The 19,388-nt window shown below is 37.6% G+C and overlaps 1 protein-coding gene across 12 annotated transcripts in view; it reads right to left on the reverse strand.

Annotated features, from left to right (window-relative positions):
• NOTCH2NLB (notch 2 N-terminal like B) overlaps nt 1-19,388 on the reverse strand; it is a 112,254-nt gene that overhangs the window by 51,200 nt on the left and 41,666 nt on the right. For 2 of the 12 annotated variants that reach the window (XM_047420702.1, XM_047420672.1), the window contains exon 2: nt 10,089-10,384. The exons of 9 other annotated variants lie outside the window; for them this stretch is intronic. The gene's annotated coding sequence lies outside the window, so the exon portion shown is untranslated. Of the gene's footprint in view, nt 1-10,088; nt 19,015-19,388 lie in introns of those variants that run through there. One more of the 12 variants, XM_047420642.1, reaches the window with a different exon arrangement.

Consider the following 19,388-nt stretch of genomic DNA (forward strand, 5'->3'; position numbering starts at 1 on the left):
CAGTCATTTTAATAAAAAAGCAGCTCAACACACTAACAGTCACAATTTGGTTTGCAAGTGCTCACAATCATTCTATTTGCTCATCCAGTTGTTGCTGGAATGACAAAGACAGCAAAGACAGAAAATTTTGTATATATTAAGTGACCATATTGGAACTTAAAACTTTCCATGTTTGTGTCTTTAAGCACAGAAGAGAACTCTAGGTTTCTCCATTTGCAGCAACACCTAATTTGGCAAACTCAAAAAGTTACATTGTCTTTGATAAAGGCTTTCTTTGTTCTAGAGAGGTCAAAAGATTTCTCTCCAGCTTCAGCCTGAAGATCTCGGATCAAAAGAAACAATATAAATTCCAATATATTAAATTTTAAAATGGGGGGTAAGCCCTAGAAGGGGTATTGGCTTTCTTGAGCCCAGTGCTTCCCTGATTCTCACAAATGAGTAATAAACTGCTAAAGAAAGAGAGAGAGAGAAAAGAAAGAAAAGAAAAGAAAAAAAAGAAAGAAAAAAAGAAAAGAGAGAGAGGAAGGGAAAGGGAAAGAGAGAGGAAGGAAGCAAAAGAAAGAAAGGAGAGAGAGAAAGGAAAGGAAAGGAAAGAAAAGGGAAAGAGAGAAAGAGCAAGCGAGCGAGCGAACGAGCAGATGCCCTGGCCTACCTTCCATTTCATCTGCTTTGTTGCCACTCCTGTCTGGAAGCCTAAGGGAATTCCACCAGAAGACAGATTCTGGAGCTAGGCAACACCTAAGTGAGGTCTGCTCCACCTAGCTTCAGCCCAGCTATAATACCATGGTAAGTGCTTGAAAAATGTCAGCCAAGCTAAACTGTTAATGAGCAGGCCCAGTAGTTTTCTATCTTCCTCCGAGAGAGGATAACCAAGTCTTTAATTTCCCATAAGACAAAAAGAAAATCTGCAAAATTACAGTTTATTCTAGTCTTTAATGGTAACAATGACCTGGCACAGGAGATATTTCCATCTCTTTTGTTTATCACTCTTAAAATTCTCTCTTCAATAAAACTCCGTTCTACTTTAGGGACATGGGAGTGACACTCATGTTGAACAAGAGGGACTTACAAAGGGAGTTTTACCAGTTTCACCACTTCGGGCCCAGTGGGAATGTCCTTCCCATCATCACCTCATCACATTAACAAGATTAAGTCCTTTGGAAAACCAGTATAAAAGCAAGGAACCCTCAGTTCAAGCAAAGGGACAAAGGATTTAGTAAATGTGGTTATTAGTGTAGTGCTGGTGATTAAATAATATTTCTCCTCCTCCCCACTAAAGCACACATTACCTCACTGAAAATATTAAAACCAATGCATTGTAATCACTTTGGCTATGAGCCTAAATATATGTTACCACATAAAGTTTCAAATACAAAGTTTTATATTAAAAAACACTAAATCTAGTATCCTCCCCTCCCCCAATCCAATGTAATCTGGCTTTAAAATTGTTAAGAAGAACAAGTTTATAAATTTGAGCACAGTGAGTTTTTGTGTGTGCCCACCCACCTCCACGGAAAATACCCCAAAAGCAGCAACCTTCAGAAAATACAAGACTTTACTCTCAAGGAGTAACTCTAATGTGAGTTCCAGAAGATAGCCAGCCATATCCTAAATCAGTTGGCTGGTCAGTTTCTTCAAGTAAAATGAGAGTAACAGGCACCTATGCTACCTGAAGATGAAGCTAATAGGGCATCATGAAGAAAAGCAAGGCATCTGATAGTACTCCATAGAATATATTTAGGATTAACATCTCAGCTTCTAATAGGCAGGGATTTTCAGCTGATTTCCATCTACATTCCTCCACCCAAGCCTACAAAGCATTCTATGGCTTGTGTGAACACCTCAGCCAAACAAATCAGAAAGTCAGCTCACAACCCTCTATTTCTCACTCCTGAGAAGGCTGCTCATAAACAGTGATCTCATTTGATCCCCACAACAACACTATGAGGCATGTAAATTGGTATTAGCACCATTTTACACAAGAAACTGCAACTCAAAGAAATAAGGGGCTTGCCCAAAGTCACACAAATCAAGATGTCTGAACCAGGACCAGAGCACAAGTCTTTTACCTACTGACCCAACATTCCTTTCACTCACTACATCTGTAAATACGCAGTTAGAAAAACCTGATATCCACCATAATCTGCAAACTTCCATAATATACATTTGTGACTACAACATTCTCAGGTAGGTAACCACCCACATACCAGCTATGCACATCAAAAACATTTACACGAAAGATCAGCTAATGACCTGCTTATTAAAACAAAACCAGGACTTGCTTATCAAAAACAAAACCAGGGACAAGAGGGGCTGCCAATGCTGTATCTCAGAACTACCACTCATACACATGCCCTAATGACTAACACCCATTGACTAGCATCACCCCTACCTACACAACAAAAGAACTCCACTTTTGAAAACCTGCCAACTCTAGGATTCAACATACTACACTATGCATTATTTCTCCAGGAAAAAAAAAAAACTACCCTATGACTGAAATTGTTTAGAATTTTTTCTTTGTAAAATTGACACTGACAAGATACCATCTCTTCTCAATAATAGAGTAGCAACACAGGAGCAAAAGGAAATTATGGAGTTAGAGATGGAACCAGATCATAAGTATGATATACCCTATCTTGACAAGATTTTACTCTTAAAAATGACGGCCCTATTAAAAGTAGGTAACCCATCATCATTTTATCCAAGTACCCATAATTCAATTGATTAGAAATAAATCCCTCCAAGAACACATCTGCAGTTAAGTTAGTGAAAACTGAACTACTGAACAGAGAAGCATGGCCTGCTGCTCAGAGAAGACGGGTCATCACTAATGTGGTAAACCAAAAATGCCATAAGAGATAAAGTATTTTCTTCATCTGGTCTGCTTCTCTCCAACTAAAGAAATCAACTCAGAGGGGGAAAAAAGACAAAAACTCACCTTCCCAAACCAACAAATAAACTATCCAGACACATACCCTTCATGATGTTGAATCCCAATTTAGGAAACCTCAGACAGCTCAGAGCACTGTCTTATCCACAAGGCTGAGAATACAAGACTTTTGTCCTCCAAAATTAAAAGTATAAATTTTATCACTAAGTTTGGTATACTGTCCCACAAAATGCCACCTTATTCCATGTCCATACCACTAAAGAACTATAGAAAATAATGACATATTAAAAAAGATCACTCCTCTGTTTTCCTTATGGCATTTTTATTATCTGACACAACATATAGCAAACGTGGATCTTGAAATGGGAGATAAATTAAAATAAAGTTTTAAGCTATAATAAGTCTATAATAAATAATATACTCTATAAATAAATTATCAAAATTCAGGGTATTTGGTGATAGAAATCTAAGGAGGAAATGAATTTTTGAAATGTCTCAGGCCAAAAGAAAACTAAAAGGCTATAATCAAGAAAGAAAGGAGATGGGCAACTTCTTTTTAGAGCCCCACTTCCGAAAGAACAGCTGTCTTTGCTCAGCTGTAGGAAAACCACAGGACTTGGAATAACTCACTTCATGTACTGTCCTTCTTATGTTAAAATGACACTGTTGACTCACCCTCAGTAGGATATGTGCTTGGTTAAACTTGTTTTTCCAGTAACAGTAATGAACTGAGTTACTCTACTATTGAAATGATTTGCACCCCCACAACTGAAAAAAATATTTGGAAACACCTACATATCTAGTATGCATGTCCTTGAGTAGTAGGTCTGGTTTGACTATGCAGCCAGAGCTTTATCCTTCTTCAGAGTCTCTCCACAAATGATGATCAGTGTAACAAAAGAATCTTTCACTGCATTTGCTCAGTGAATCATTGTCTTAGCTAATAGCTAATCCCCACAGTCCTGGGCTTCCAAAGTCTGAAATGAAATAAACTGTCTAATTTATTTTTCTTACTTTTAGTTACATGTACTGCTCAAATTTGGGTGATACTGCAGAAGGCCCACACCAAATCCACAACCCTTGCATGCAGCAGTAGCATTCAACAAGGTCCTGTAGGACACTCTGGTAGATTCCCCCTTCTACTGCTCTGTCATTTCTAGCTTACTTGCTAGTTAAGGTGGAAAGACTTTAAAAAAAAAAAAAAAAAAAAAGGAGCCTTTACCAAGCCCTAACTCTAGCTTATGAACCAAACTAATCATCATATGGGTGGGAAGGCTTAATAACTTCAAACAAGGATTTTTACTTATACCAACCCAGACAATGAAAGGGAGGGTTGTTAGTTCTCCTTAGATAAAAAACAGTATTCCCTCTTAAGGAGAGATACAACCTAATTCACATATATCTTCTATCTTTATCTTTTCTACCTCAAGGATACAGTTTTTTAATTGAAAATTTTAACTCAAAAATTATTTTGCAAACGGATATTTGAAACGTGGGGAGTAAAAGATAAGCTACAAACAAAAGAACAAATATCTTAGACATTAAACTCTTCAATTTACATTCTGGACCAGTGGTCTGCAAAATTAGGTGTGTGTATCCCAGAAGCACGGGAGGTGTAAGATCATCCACTGGGGCACTGGAAGAAATTTTAAAACATCTCCATATTTATGGGCTAAAAAACATATAATAAGCTTTACTTAGAGTTAACATATGCATACATGGTTTAATAGCCAGACATTTATATAATGTATAAATATGTATTTACTTGAGGAAGCGTTCATGCTTTAAAAATGTTTTTCTTGGGGTATACATTTTTTAAGGGTTTGAAGGGTCCTGCTTTACCCCCAGATTTCACAAAGTAGGATACATATGCGCTCAAGAGTATACAGTATGCCAGAAAAATGCAAAGAAACTGGATAAACCTGGTATATCTTCCTGGCATCTCTATTTCACTCACTCTAGGGTAAGTGACATTCATTCTTCCCTATAATCAGGTGCTTTGGAAGACACCTCTGGCTAACATGTCATTAGGATAAAAGAGGCCACAAAATGATGGCCTGGATTCTGGGTTCTATGCCTGGCTCTCTATCTTCTAGCCATCTGACCAAGGGCCAATCACTTCGCACTTCCAGGCCTTTCCAGCTCCTTCCTACTCAAATTTTGCGATTCACAAGTTAAGTTTTTCATCCCATCTTTAGTTGCTTCATGGCCCTGCACATGTCATTCTTCTAATTAGAATGTAACAGCCACTCCTCTCCACCAATCTCAGCCTCCTTTCCGCTCTCCAATGAGGCCTTGACTTTGCATTCCCTCAGCTTCCCATGATCTGTTTATATGATGTGAAAGGGCACTTTCTGGAAGGCTCTGTAAGTGTTCTCAGGTTATTACCAGTGTCCCCCAGTACTTCTGGACAGACTGTAGAGCTCCTTTGGCTAAAGTGCTAGAGGCAGCATTCTGCATGGGGGACCAACATGTATTATCACCTCACCATGCTGAAAATCTACAGCCTGGCCCCTGATCCAAATCAGCAATATACTAATATTAAGGAAAAAGTAACAGAAACCAAAATCACCCACCTAATGAAGATATATGATCTAGCAAAAGAAAATGAGGCTGAGAACATCCACAGGTAAGCCAGGCTATGAGGAACATAGCTCTGAACTCAGCAGGAACAAAATGAGGAACCGGGGAGAGTACAGAGAAGTGTTAACTCACACTGGTAGGATGCCCCTTCTCACTCAAAACAGCTGAGTTCATATCCCAGGCATGGCCGCTGTATCAAAATAATTAGTAATTAAACAAGTTAATATATGCAACATGCTTACAGCTTGGCACTGTTAAGATTATTACCCTCTTTCCTTCAAGCACAGCAGAACACGAGAAATGTCACATCTTTATCTGCAGACTTTGGGGGATCCAAGGCAGAATTTTCACCTACGCAGAGCAGGCTGAGATTCAACTTCCCTTTTCAGGTTTCACCGACATCCCTGAAGGTTCCATAGCATATCTGCCATCATGTGGAAAGATAAAATTCAATTCCCAGGCATTCCCAGGTGCACTTCTAAGGAAGTGGTATGGTGTGAAGAATAAAGCAATGGACCAAGGGCTAAAAAGTCAGACATCTGGCCTGGCACAGTGGCTAACACCTGTAATCCCAGCACTCTGGGAGGCTGAGGCAGGTGGATCATTTGAGGTCAGCAGTTCAAAACCAGCCTGGCCAACATGGTGAAACCACGTCTCTACTAAAAATACAAAAAAATTAGCCGGGTGGTAGTGGCACACCCCAGTAATCCCGGCTACTCGGGAGGCTAAGGCAGGAGAATCGCTTGAGCCTGGGAGGTGGAGGTTGTGGTAAGCCAACATCGCACCACTGCCCTCCAGTCTGGGTGACAGAGTGAGGCCCTGTCTCAAAAAAAAAAAAAAAAGTCAGTCATCTTGTCTTTGTACTGCCACTGACTATTTTTGTGCTCTTGAAAAATTACTTTACCTTGGTGTTTTTTTTTTTTTTTTTGAGATGCAGTCTCTCTCTATTGCCCAGGTTGGAGTGCAATGGCGTGATCTCAGCTCATGGCAGCCTCCTCCTCCCAGGTTCAAGCGATTCTCCTGCCTCAGCCTCCTGAGTAGCTGGGATTACAGGTGCACGCCACCATGTCCAGCTAATTTTTGCATTTTTTTCAGTAGAGACGGGGTTTTGCCACATTGGCCAGGATGGTCTTGAACTCCTGATCTCGTGATCCGCCTGCCTTGGCCTCCCAAAGTTCTGGGATTACAGGCATGAGCCACCATGCCCAGCTGAAAAATTACTTACCTTTCTAAGGCCTACAGTTTGTAATCTGTTTTTAAAAAGTGATTAGATGACATATAGTCCCATAGCCAAGAAAATAGTAGCTTACCAACATGTTTTACTGTGACCTACAGTGAGAAATATATCTTGTACCAGACCTCAATATTCACATATATACGTGCATAGCAAAAACAAAAATTTCAAGAAACAATGCTTGTCCATACTATGTGATACTCTCTATTCTACCCCTTTTTCCCCCAAAGTGCTGTTGGAGACCTACCAAATTGGTTTCATGACCCATTCGTGGTCATGATCTGCAGTTTAAAAAACAATGGACTAAAGCATGCAGTAAAGAATGTGGCTTTGCAATTAGACAGGCCCAATACCACTTTTTTTTTTTTTTTTTTTTTTTTTTTTTGGAGACAGGATCTTGCTCTGTCACCCAGACAGATGTGCAGTGGCATAATCATGGCTCACTGCAGCCTCAACCTCTGGGGCTCAAGCAATCCTCCTGCCTCAGCCTCCCAAGTAGCTGGGACCACAGGTGTGCACCCCCACTCCTGGCTAATTTTTTTATTTTTTGTAAAGATGGGGTCTTGCTATGTTTCCCAGGTTAGTCTCAAACTCCTGGTGTCAAGCGATCCTCCTGCCTCAGACTCCCAAAGCACTGCGATTACAGGTGTGAGCCACCAAGCCCAGCCCCAGCACCACTTTTAACTAGCTGCATAATCTTGGGTAAACTACTAACCTTTCCAAAGTACATCTTTTAAATTAAGACTAATACACCAGGGTTTTTTCTAAGGATTAGATGAGATAATGTATGTAAAGCACTTAGCCACACTGTGTCTGACATAAAATACATACTCAATAAAAAGTTATAGTGATGACTAATAACATCAATATTATTATTATTAAATTCAAGAATTCCAAAAGAAAGTAAATTAAGTGGAAGAAAGCTAGAAAGAGAAATAGGCTCACCTATAAGCATCAATAAACAGTAGGACTGTTGTCAGGTTAACCCAGGACTATGCTCACTGAAATTCTACAAACAAAGGGGTTTTGCTTACTTTCTTCACAATATCCCCTCGCAACTTAAGCAGTGCCCAGCACACAATAGGTACATATATTTGTTGAATGAATGAAAACATCTGGAGGCTCACCTCTATGCAGTGGAGGTGCTGTGAAGAGATCCCAGCAACGCCTGCACAGCACCCCTGCCCAAAAATCCAAACACCTTGAGATTGCTGTAAGCCAGTGACTCTCAAAGTGTACTTTCCCAAACAGCAGCAGTATTACCTGGACGCTTTTTAGAAATGCAATCTACCAGGTCCCGCTCCAGACCTACCAGATCAGAAACTCTGGGGGTGAGCCCAGCAATCTGTATTCTAACAAGTCCTCCAAAACTTGATGTGCACTCAAGTTTGAAAACCAGCATTACAAACTGATGATTTAGGGACCAATAGCAATTCCAGGGAGCTACATGTACAATCAAACGGACTCCTGCAAAGTTTATTGATTCTAGGAATTAGTTACTTACCTAGTTCAACCCAGACTTTTCAGAGTTAGCTGCAACTTCCAAGGAAGTTACCAAGAATTGCTTCTCCTCTCTGCTTCTCCTTAGTGCACCAATAAAGCCTAATTGCTGCAAACTCTCTGAAACAACCACTCTAATATTCAGCACAAAGCCTGATTGCTAAAAAAATGCAAAACCTATTTGTTAAGTGATCTTTTATCTAAGCACATTCCCTGGGCTCACACTATCCATACCAGAACTTCTGGAATGCAGGCTTACGGTGTTTTTTCAAACTCTACATTAGTTCTCAAAAAATGAACAAGGTCCCACAGCCAATCTGCATGCAGCAACTTTGCACCAAAGTTATAACAGTACTGATCTACCAATACCTTGCATTTCACTATTTGCCAAAACAACAAGACCTTATTTAGCATCAATTTTGTGTACATACACTTCAGAAAGAAGATAACCAGATATTAAAGATAACCAGATATTAAAACTCCAAAGTTAAGGTTTGTAATGTGTTGATAAATCAAACAACACATATTTGTATCACTAGATTGAGCCCAGTAATTTCTATAGAACCTTAATTTCCCAAAAGGTACCTTAATCAGACTCTAGTCAAACACAACAAGATTTAGAAAAAACACACTGTTTTTTATCAAAAGGCAGGAAAATATAACTGTCTTCTTTCTAGTCTGGTAAAGGATTTCTAAATATACCTTCCAAGGGCAAAAGGGTGCCTTTGAAAAATAAGAAGATTCCTTAATTCTGTCAATAGAATAATGATCCAGTTATATACCAAAGAGCAGATAGAAGACCTGGCTATGGAGTCATGTGACTCTGCATTAGATCTCATGGGGTCTCTGTCTCAGTCTCCACAAATAAAAACATGGCCTTGTCTCTATAAAAGATACAATGTACATAGAAGTGTTTTGCAAACTATTATATATTATCTTCTCAACATGCAAATTTATCCCTGTGAACTGATTCTTTCCCTCCCACTCACAGTGGCCAAAATAATTTATATTAGAATGTGTCCATAGGTGGCTTAATAGCAGTTGTGACAAAAGTGTAAACTAGAAAAGATACTGAATATTTACACACACATAAAGCAGCATGAAGCCACAGAAGGCTTCAAATGACAAAGAAATGAATTAGAAAAATCACCCACAGTACACTGGCCCTTCCTGGTTTTGGCAAGGATTTCAGCCAGAAAGACATGGTATTTAAGAAGAAAAATTAATAAAAAGAAAACATAAAATGAATTCTTTCAGAACTTCACAAAAGGTTATGTTTAAAAAGAAGTTTGGGAACAAGGGGATGCAGAGGGCTATGTTTTTTTCAGGTCTGACTTATCTTTTGCTATGGGTACACTGTCTTTTCATGTGGCCTCAAAGAAATAGTTGAGCCATTATTGTTGTTGATAATGACGAGCAGATGCTGATGGGATGATTGCACATCAACAGTTCTCAGACTCAGGTCTTGTGTAATTGGGTGTGTCAATCTATGTCACTCCACAGATGGTTATTAAACTAGTTACAACTTCCCTAAATCTTTTCACTAGATCTATGCAGCATTCTGGACAGCTATTCCTTGCCAACTGAGATTAGGCACTATTATAAAAAAAGTTTTGAAAAAACAATTCCAAGGTCTATTCCTCCTCCCAACACACACACACACACACACGCACACACACACAGAGTTAAATCAGAGATACTTAATTCAGATATTCAAATTTTTTAATTTGAAATTTAAAATATTACCAAAGCCATAAATATTCCTTTAATGCAGTGAATGTAAGAAATCTATTAATTTCAACCTGTCGTGAATAAAAATTATAATACATATATAATTTTCTATGAAAAAATTGTATGTATTTTAGATAATCTATGTACCTCACGAGTAGCCCTTCTATCAAAGCTCTTCTCAGGATGGTGGAGAATGGTGAATCTCAGCTCTCACAACATAAAAGTGCCAAATTCTTCTTAGTGAAAGAGATGTATAGCCTTGATGTGCTAGATAAAAGTGGCCTTCAGAGAAGAAGCTCTCCACTGACCACGGGGCATGGTCAAATGTCCAGTTGGATTGCTGTGAGAGTCAAAATGATCCACTTGGCATTTTGTTGATATTGAGGTGTCAAACCTTTAACTAGTTGGCCACTCCTTCCAGTAAGCTTCTGTACACTGGACAACTGAAAGAAAGTTTGTTAAGAAGGCTCCCTTAAACAAAAGGTACAACTTATAAAATACACTGTTGTGGAAAGACAAGTATAGCTTCATTATCATATAGATGTAAACAAGGCAGAGACTAGGCTAAAATAAAGTGTAAAATGTGAGTTTGTTAATTTTTCTTTCCCCGTGAACATTTGGCAGAGTTAAAATTTTAGCCATCATACATTTTATTCCCTGAAATGTATCAGTCACAGTTCCCACAGACTCTAGATACACATTTCCTTGTGGGTGTATGTGTAAAACTACCATAACAAAACATTTTCTATTTCCTCATTTTGATTAAAAGGAAAGAAGAAATGCTAAACTGCACTTACATAAGTGACAGTGCAATAGTGACACACCATCTGTGTACACAATTTGTATTCTGTTTAAATTTAAAGTTATAATGATAAGGTGAGAAATGCTAAGAGCTAGGAAATAAAAATACACTTAGAAGCAGCCTATGTTGTACGCTCTTGAAAAACCTTAAGGAAGCTTTAAAGAGCAGCAAAATCACTTCAGGCCACTCAGGAAGAACTACGGCTTGAGACATTAAAAATGGCTGAGGAAAAATACTAAGAAATAGACATCAGAAAATTAAAAACGCCTGTAAACGAGGGTGACGTTATAGACCCACTAGCAGGACATATGAAAGTTGTGATGAGTTAAGCTGAGTCAGACACATATTCCTGCCTATTTCACATGTATCAACATCCTGTCTAGGAACCAGGGACAACTGATTAACAATGTAAGCACAGAATAGCTTTAAGAAAAGCTAACTGACCCATCTGGGGAAAGAATACTCAAATTCTGCTCCATTTCTGTCATGCTCTGATGCAGCTAACCAAACAGAAATAAAGAGAATCCTTTCACATCATGAGAAATGAAATTCGGATTTAGGGACATTATAAAATTATGCGGTATCATGAAATAAGAACTGCTCTGGAAATCAGAACCTGGGTTCTAGCTCTGGCTTTTCCATATACTAACCATATGGTCTAAAGGAATTCCCTTAAGCTATTTGAGACTGATTATTTTCATCTGTAAAACTAAAATAATGTAACCAGCCCTCCATTCTTACCAGAGTTCATTTGTGGCCCAAATAAATCATGTCTATTAAGGTGATTACAACCTAGATAGCATTATTTAATGTAAAATATTATTTTATAATAGCACAATTCCCAGTCTAAAAATCTGTGAAACAGAAAATCCTTACCATCTAACCCAGAAATGATAAATGATTACATGATTCAAATTAGATCACAAACACCTATATTATTATTAGATCCATTCCTCCAGCCCAAATGGGGGTGGTAAGTATACGTTGTTAGACCAGTGTAACTAACTTCAACAACTTTTTGTTTTGTTCTGTTTTGCAAATCCACCCAAGAATGCATTAACTTCAACAATTTTTTAAAAACAATTTCCACAATCCTCTCCTTGTGTCTCAACCATGCTCAGGAATTACAAGTACAATAATCTCCTCAACCTCCCCTAGCCTTTCCTAGCTCAGAAATCCGACATAGGCCACTTCGCATGCCTGATCAGATAAGCTTTCCCAATGCTGAAAACCAACTGCTTCTAACCTTTTAAACCTGATTTCCATGAAAACTCAGGGGTGAAAGAAACAAATAATCCAACCAAATCAGTTCCTTCTTATTGAAAGAGTTCTTCATCTTTAATCTGAAATCCTAAATAATTTTTTCTATGAATCAATTGCTTCTGAGATGAGAGGTACAAGACACTACAAACTATGACCACACAAAAGATTTTTAAAAGCTTTTGATTCACAGTGAGTTAACCTACAAACTTGAAGTTACTAGACAATAGTACTTTTAGTCTACTCTTTAGGTGATCCATAATCTTGCATTGGCCATGAAGCAGAGCCTAAAGGGAGTCATTAAAAGAAACTGAAACAAGGTCTAGAGACAAATGTTCCCAGGCTATATATTCCAAAGGAGGAATTACCATGAAAGTAATGAACTTTAAAGTTCAGGGGCCCCTACACTCGGGTGCCTATTCTGTGCCCAGAACCACGCAAGCACAATTAAATATGTTGCTTTCAATCTTTACAAACAATCCTGCAAGTTAGATATTACTATTATTCCCATTATATAAATACGGGTACTGAGACTTAAAGAAGTTAAGTGGCTTGTCTAATATTCTTAGCTAGTACAAATCAGAGCCCAGTCTCTCTGATTCCAAAACTCACCAGCTATGCTAAAGCAAAAATCAAAAGGTAGTAGGGAAGGGTATCTAAAAGTCATTCTGAGAGATAATTAAAAATAAATAATGTTTGCTGTCACTTATCTCTTTTACCTTCTTTAATATCCCTTGGCATCCTCTCCTTCAACATTCAACTATTGACTAACACAACTAAAACCTAAGGAGGAAGTCCAGTATGTTTGAAAGAACCCACATGTCTGAGCATGCAGGCGAAGGACTGTGTTTTAAAATAGCAGGGATAATCTAAGATTAGGTATTGGTGTCAAACACACTTCTCTTATCTATTAGTACAGATGACCACCAGTTTTCAGTAACAAAAGATATGGTAATAAGAAAAAACAAATCCACAGAAAAGGAAAAAAACAAGCTTGTCTTTATGCTTGTTCTGTAATGATATGTGTAGAAATGCTACCCACAGTTAATTTCATAGTTCCTAAGCCAAGACAGGTTAGTACTGGGTAATTTTAATAATTGGCTATGTGCATTGTTCAGATGCTGAGGCATTCCAATCATTTTACATGGTCTCTTACATCACTTTCAGAATGGTACCATAAGAACACAACTGTACAGTCAAGAAAAAGCTATTTGTAACTAAAACGGCTGGCATCAAACATTTCTGAACATAAATCTGGCTCTGAATTGCTAGTTGCAATCTCTCTCAATTTTTTATTTAAAAAAATCCACACATTCATTCCTGGTCTTAATCTACTAAAGAATTTCTTTTGGGATCAAAAAGTAACAGGAAAGAATGCTAACCAACTTTCCTTGGATTACAACAAACATAATTCCATTCTTCTTCCCAGTTACAAAAAGATTTAAAAGAACTACAACTCTTCAAAATGGAAGTTTGCAATTTAGATCATTCTCCTATTATGCAAATGTTCATTCAGAATTAAAATATTGTTTTAAAAAGTAAAATGTAAGTCAGTTTAGTGCACAAAATGTTTACATTAAATACAAAATTACACTATCTAAGGGACTACAGGATTCCACCAGACAATGGCATTATTTATTATGGTTAAGTATGTTGGCTTTGGATCAGGAAAGAGGGGTTCCAGTGACTGTTCTTTACCACTGACTGGCTAGGTGATCTGGATGAACATTCCTTAACTTTTCTGTAAACAAGAATCCTAACATCTATTTTAAGGACTAAAGGAAACAAGTAAAGTATTTTGTCCCCAAGCATCTGTCACATAATAAACCCTCAGAATATGGAAGCTACTGATAGTCACATAAACTTCATGAAAACAGAAACATTCATCTGTTTTGTTCACTCTATTAACAAGGAGGCATGACTTGATCAGTATTCATGCAAATACTTCCAGTTCCTCCAAAGTGACATTCATATTTATCTATATTAACTACATCCAAATTCTGCTATCCTTCGTGTATACTTCTCTTTTATTATAAGCAGCTTCAGCTACTTTTATGGAAAGATTTAAATTATTGGAAAATATTTTAAGGGTATTTAAGTTAACATATGGACCATTTACATATTCTATAAACTGTGTGCTTACACATAATTATAAATATCTCAGACTGTAAAAGAAAACCTTCCATAATGTTCCCACAATGGAAAAATAAAGTCTTAGAAATAATTATAGAGGGAGCAGAAGGGAGTGGCAGGTAGAGGATAACTTACTAAATCGGCAAAATAAAATTTGGAATTTTTTCTTAAAACAAAACAAAATAAAAACCTGACAACCACTTGTTCAAGGCTGCCAAAACTTGAGAAGAAGCAAACTGTCAAGGGAAACAAATGTTAAAATATAAAGCCCTTTTCTGAGAAAGTAACTCCACCAGTCCAGGTTAATCCAATTCTGAATCACTAATGACACCAGACCTGCCGGGCTGTCTCAACTACTACAAAGAAGTCCAAAGGGACAGGCAGAGGTTCACAGGCAAATTATTTTCACTGCTGTCATTGAAATTTTAAATATAGCCACACCTCTCCCATCCCAACACCCTTTCTACTCCTCTACTGTTGTTGACTGGCACTAACCCTTTTCAGACCTCAAAAAACAAGGGCCGACATATTGATACATAATTTGAGTACTGAGCATAGTGGAAAAATCACTTGACTAAAAGTCAAGAGATTGGATTCTGGCCCCAACCCTGACCCAGCTCTAGGTACTTGGGCCAGTCACTTTGCTTCTTTGGTTTTCTCTCTTTAAAACAAGGATGGATTAGATGGGTGGTTCCCCACACAAGATCCCAAAATCTCCAGGAGCCCCTGAGGTTGTAATAAAAGACAATGGGATATTTTTATTATTTCAAAATGTCTAACAGAGATAGTTCATTAACTGCTTTAAGGCTAATTAAAACACCAAGTATTTTGGCTTCACATTAGTACTCTGCATGGTGACACTGGATGGCATGTGATTATGTTTGTCATATCATAGGAAATTTGGAAACAAGAGTGTTAGACCTGATACTGTTCTCAAAGCTGTACCTCAGAAAATCACAATATCTTTACTAAACATAACATCCAATCACAAATGTGTGGTTAATAAAAATTGGGAAAATGATTTAACACCTATCAATGCAACTTGCATAATACAAGCATACCTTTGTGATATTGTGGCTTCAGCTCCAGCTCACCTCAATAAAGCAAACAGTACAATGAAGCAAGTCAGAAATTTTTTGGTTCCCCAGTGCATACAAAAGTTATGTTTACAGTATACTCTAGTCCATTAAGCATGCAACAGCATTATGTCTAAAGCATAATGCATATACCTGAGTTTAAAAATACTTTATTGCTAAAAAATACTGACACAGGGACATATAGTGAGTATATGCTATTGGAAAAAATGGTGCTGATACATTTGCTCGACATAGGGTTGCCACAAACTTTCAATTTGTAAAAAATAAAACAAAATCTGTGAAGCACAATAAAAGGGAACACAAAATAAAATAAGGTATGCCTATAGATAAAATCTCCCCAAACTGAAAGTGTACCTCATTAAGGGAAAAGACTCAAATATGAAACCCTTAAATAATTATTAGATCACAGGAAACCAGTGAACAATCCACAGGCTGCAAAGATGATGTTCCTATTTCCTCATGAAGGTTCCCAATCACTCATCCACTTTTGATTAAAGAAAAGTGAATGCACCAAGAAGCCAGTCTGTACTGCAACATAAAATAACACCAATACCAACAATAACTACTATTTACTGCACTTTAACTATGTGCCTGGTACTGTCCAATGAATCTAACATTTATTAACTGATATTATCTTCATAACAACTCCAAAATATACTGCTACTATCTTTATTTTTAAAATAATAAAATTGAGGCACACCATGCTTCAGAAACTAGCCCAAAGACACGGGGCTAGTAAATTTAGAGCAAGGCTTGTATGTTTTCCAACCTTCTCCCCACCAAAGCTGGCATCTGCCTTTCAAAAAGATGTCTCCATAAATACAAACAGGAATGCCCCAAGCAGAGCCCAGAGGAGAAGGGCCATTGCTCCTGAGAGCAGTCCTCTGAAGAGTTCATCACTGTGGCCCTTTTCGGCTTAAAGATTCATCCTTAATGGAAACTCCCCTCTTTTCCCTCCAAATTATATTTGCTTGTCCTGGTAATGGAAATCAACTGATAGAAGGTTAAAAGCCATCAATGTATCGGTCAGCTAATGTCCATCCACTTCTTACTTATTCAGAAGATACAAAAGAGTTCTAACTGGCTGACCCTTCAAAGAAGGTAGTTTTTTAAATTAATTTTTACTTATACATATCATAAAAATAGGCATCTGCAGTATCCTGGAATGAGTGAGGGTTATGGAGACAGATCTAGCTCTGAATCTCGACTAAGCCACTTACTAATTGCATTATCCTGTGCAAGTTAGAAGCCCCAGTTTCCCTAAATACCTACCCCTGTCTCTTAGGGTTGTTGCAAAGTGTTAAGTGTATGAATGTACATAAAACACCATGATTTATTGCAGCGGCCCTAGAGCCAGACAGGGGTTTGAATCCTGGCTACACCCCTCACTAACCATAGGCCAACATCCAAAGCTGTGAACCTAAGTTCCAAATTCCTTACCTATAATGTAGAAAAATATTGTCTACTCCAAAGGATAGCCATATGAATTAAATAAAGCAATATTTGCAAAGCCCCTAGCAGAATGACAGACACATAATAATAAAAATCAAAAAAGAAAAAAAAATCTGATGTTTAAAAAATCAAGCTGCAAGGACCAGGCACGGTGGCTCACCTGTAATCCCAGCACTTTGGGAGGCTGAGGCGGGCGGATCACCTGAGGTCAGGAGTACGAGACCAGCCTGCCCAACATAGAGAAACCCCGTCTCTACTAAAACTACAAAAAATTAGCCAGGCGTTGTGGTGCATGCCTGTAATTCCAGCTACTCGGGAGGCTGAGGCAGGAGAATCACTTGAACCCGGGAGGTGGAGGTTGCGGTGAGCCGAGATTGCGCCATTGCACTCCAGCCTGGGCAACAAGAGCAAAACTCCAACTCAAAAAAAAAAAGAAAAATCAAGCCACAAGTTTAAGTACCAGCTCTGTCACTTATTATGTAGGGGTAAACAATGTATACAAGTCACCTAGCCCCTGTGAGGCTCCATTTCCACCAAGTTTGTGAGGATTAAAGGAGATCATTGTGTAAGAATACTCTATAAACTATAAATTTCCAACAGAAATGTTGGAGGTTGTTTGATTCTACAGAAGCAATTTTTATATTAATTGTATTTACTGGTCCTTCCAAACAATATCTTCATCTTTAAAATGGAAAAAACTGAGGCAGAGAAATGTTGAGCCATAGAGGGAAGGCTACTGGTTTGAAATGTAGGGTGGAGACAAGGGCTGGGCCAAAATAAATTTAGACCAGGACAAAGCAGAAAATTTCTGAAAGCTTCAAAGGAGAAAAATGAGAATACTCATCAACCTATGTTTTTAATCAACAGCTTCACCTGCTGGTTAAGCCTCTCAGTGCACAGTGTGGGCATAATAATTCTCTTACTTCCTCCCAGAAACAGTATTAGACTTCAGAGTGAGAAAGAACTTCACTATCAAATCTCTTTTCCTATTCATAAATTAATTTTGGGATGGGGCACAGAAACAAAGACCAGTGGACATAAATCTGAGTCTCAGTCTAACTGGCGTTTTCTGAACTACACCATTAAAAAAAAAAAAAGAAAATATTGTAATCCTTCAAATAGGTTTCCTTCCTTGGTTGATCAGAAATGTCCTCATTCCCCAGGTCTCTTCATGCTAAATATGGTAATAGCTGGCAGACAGCCAGCCCAGTAAATTCCAATGATACTTAAGAAAGCATTCATATGGCCTGAAATTACTCTGAACCAAACACTTGAGACCTGCAGGGCTTCAGCATAGAGCAGTTCAGCTGGAGCAACGAATGTCAAAACCAGCGGGGTGCCTTAAAAACACAAAAGCTTGGAAAAAAAGCAATCTACTCTTCTTTATTGCTACTTTCTTTAGCAACAACATTGATCTCCTACCCACTATGCACACAGCACTGCACTAGGGCAGTGAGAGGCTGGACGGAGGAATGGAAGAAACAGGTGGTGTCCATGGGTTGCCAAAACAACAGGTTGCTTCAGTCAGTTCTGTCCTACAACTAATCAATTTGGTGAGGAAAGGGGGAGAGAATCTTAGTCATCTTGTTCTCTGACCAAGCTAACTGGCTAGACCCACTGTACTGGCATTTATCCATTAGGTCAAAGTGTCAGAATTAGCAGTGCATGGTAGACATAGCATTAGTCCTGCCTTTCAGGGATGTTAAATGCTTCAAAAATCTTGGCTATCTAGAAAAGGAGGACAGTAGCCGATTACGTCACCCACCCAAAATCATGTATTTGACTCCAGAATACACTGCTTTTCTCCAACATATTTTTTTATTAAGTATTAAAGTAAATGTCAATTTCCTAGACATATACAGCTGAAAGCATGCTGATTTACGATACAGTCAGATAAGAACTTTCAAGTAGCTACAGAAAATAGCAGTTAACAAATGAATTAACCAATATCATTAGAAACCAAAGGATTAAAAAAAATTAACCTATGAAATGAACAATTTTTATATCAACATTGGTAGCAATTTGATGTTGTTATATACTGCTAATTATTTCCATACATATTGTGACATATTTAAGACAAAAGACTAACACCCTTAATATTTAAAGAGCTTTTTCAAACCAGTAAGAAAATAATTAAATGAGTAAAAGACACAATTTACCAAAAGAAGTAGAAAAAAAGGCAATACAAACGCCACTGATGATATGAAAAAACATTCAATATCACTGTAATGAGGCATATTAAGATTAAGTAATATTTACCACTTATCAAATGGTAAAGATTTTTAAAAATAAAACCTAGTGTTGACAATAGTATATTATGTGTGTGTGCATATATATATATGTAGATCTGTTCATAAACTAAAAAAAAAAATATATATATATACATATATATATATATATATATATATAAATAAATCAACAGCTTTTCTAAATCTAAGGGTAAAAAAACCAAAGACGTATACCAAAAAATTAATGGCAGCATGATTGTGGACATTTTATTTATGCTTTTCTAGATTCTTCAAACATCCTTAACTACTTTTTCAAACATAATTACTTTTTATATTACAAAAATAAAAAAATCTTGTAAAGGTGCCAGAGAAAATCAGCAAAGTATAAATATGAGTTAATTATCTGTAAACATAACGAATAATTCTGTTGCTACGTAAACCTACCTTAAACTGTTTCAATGTTTGCTTTTAGTTA

The sequence above is a fragment of the Homo sapiens genome, chromosome 1 (assembly GCF_000001405.40).
Source record: "Homo sapiens chromosome 1, GRCh38.p14 Primary Assembly".
Lineage (NCBI taxonomy): Eukaryota > Metazoa > Chordata > Mammalia > Primates > Hominidae > Homo > Homo sapiens.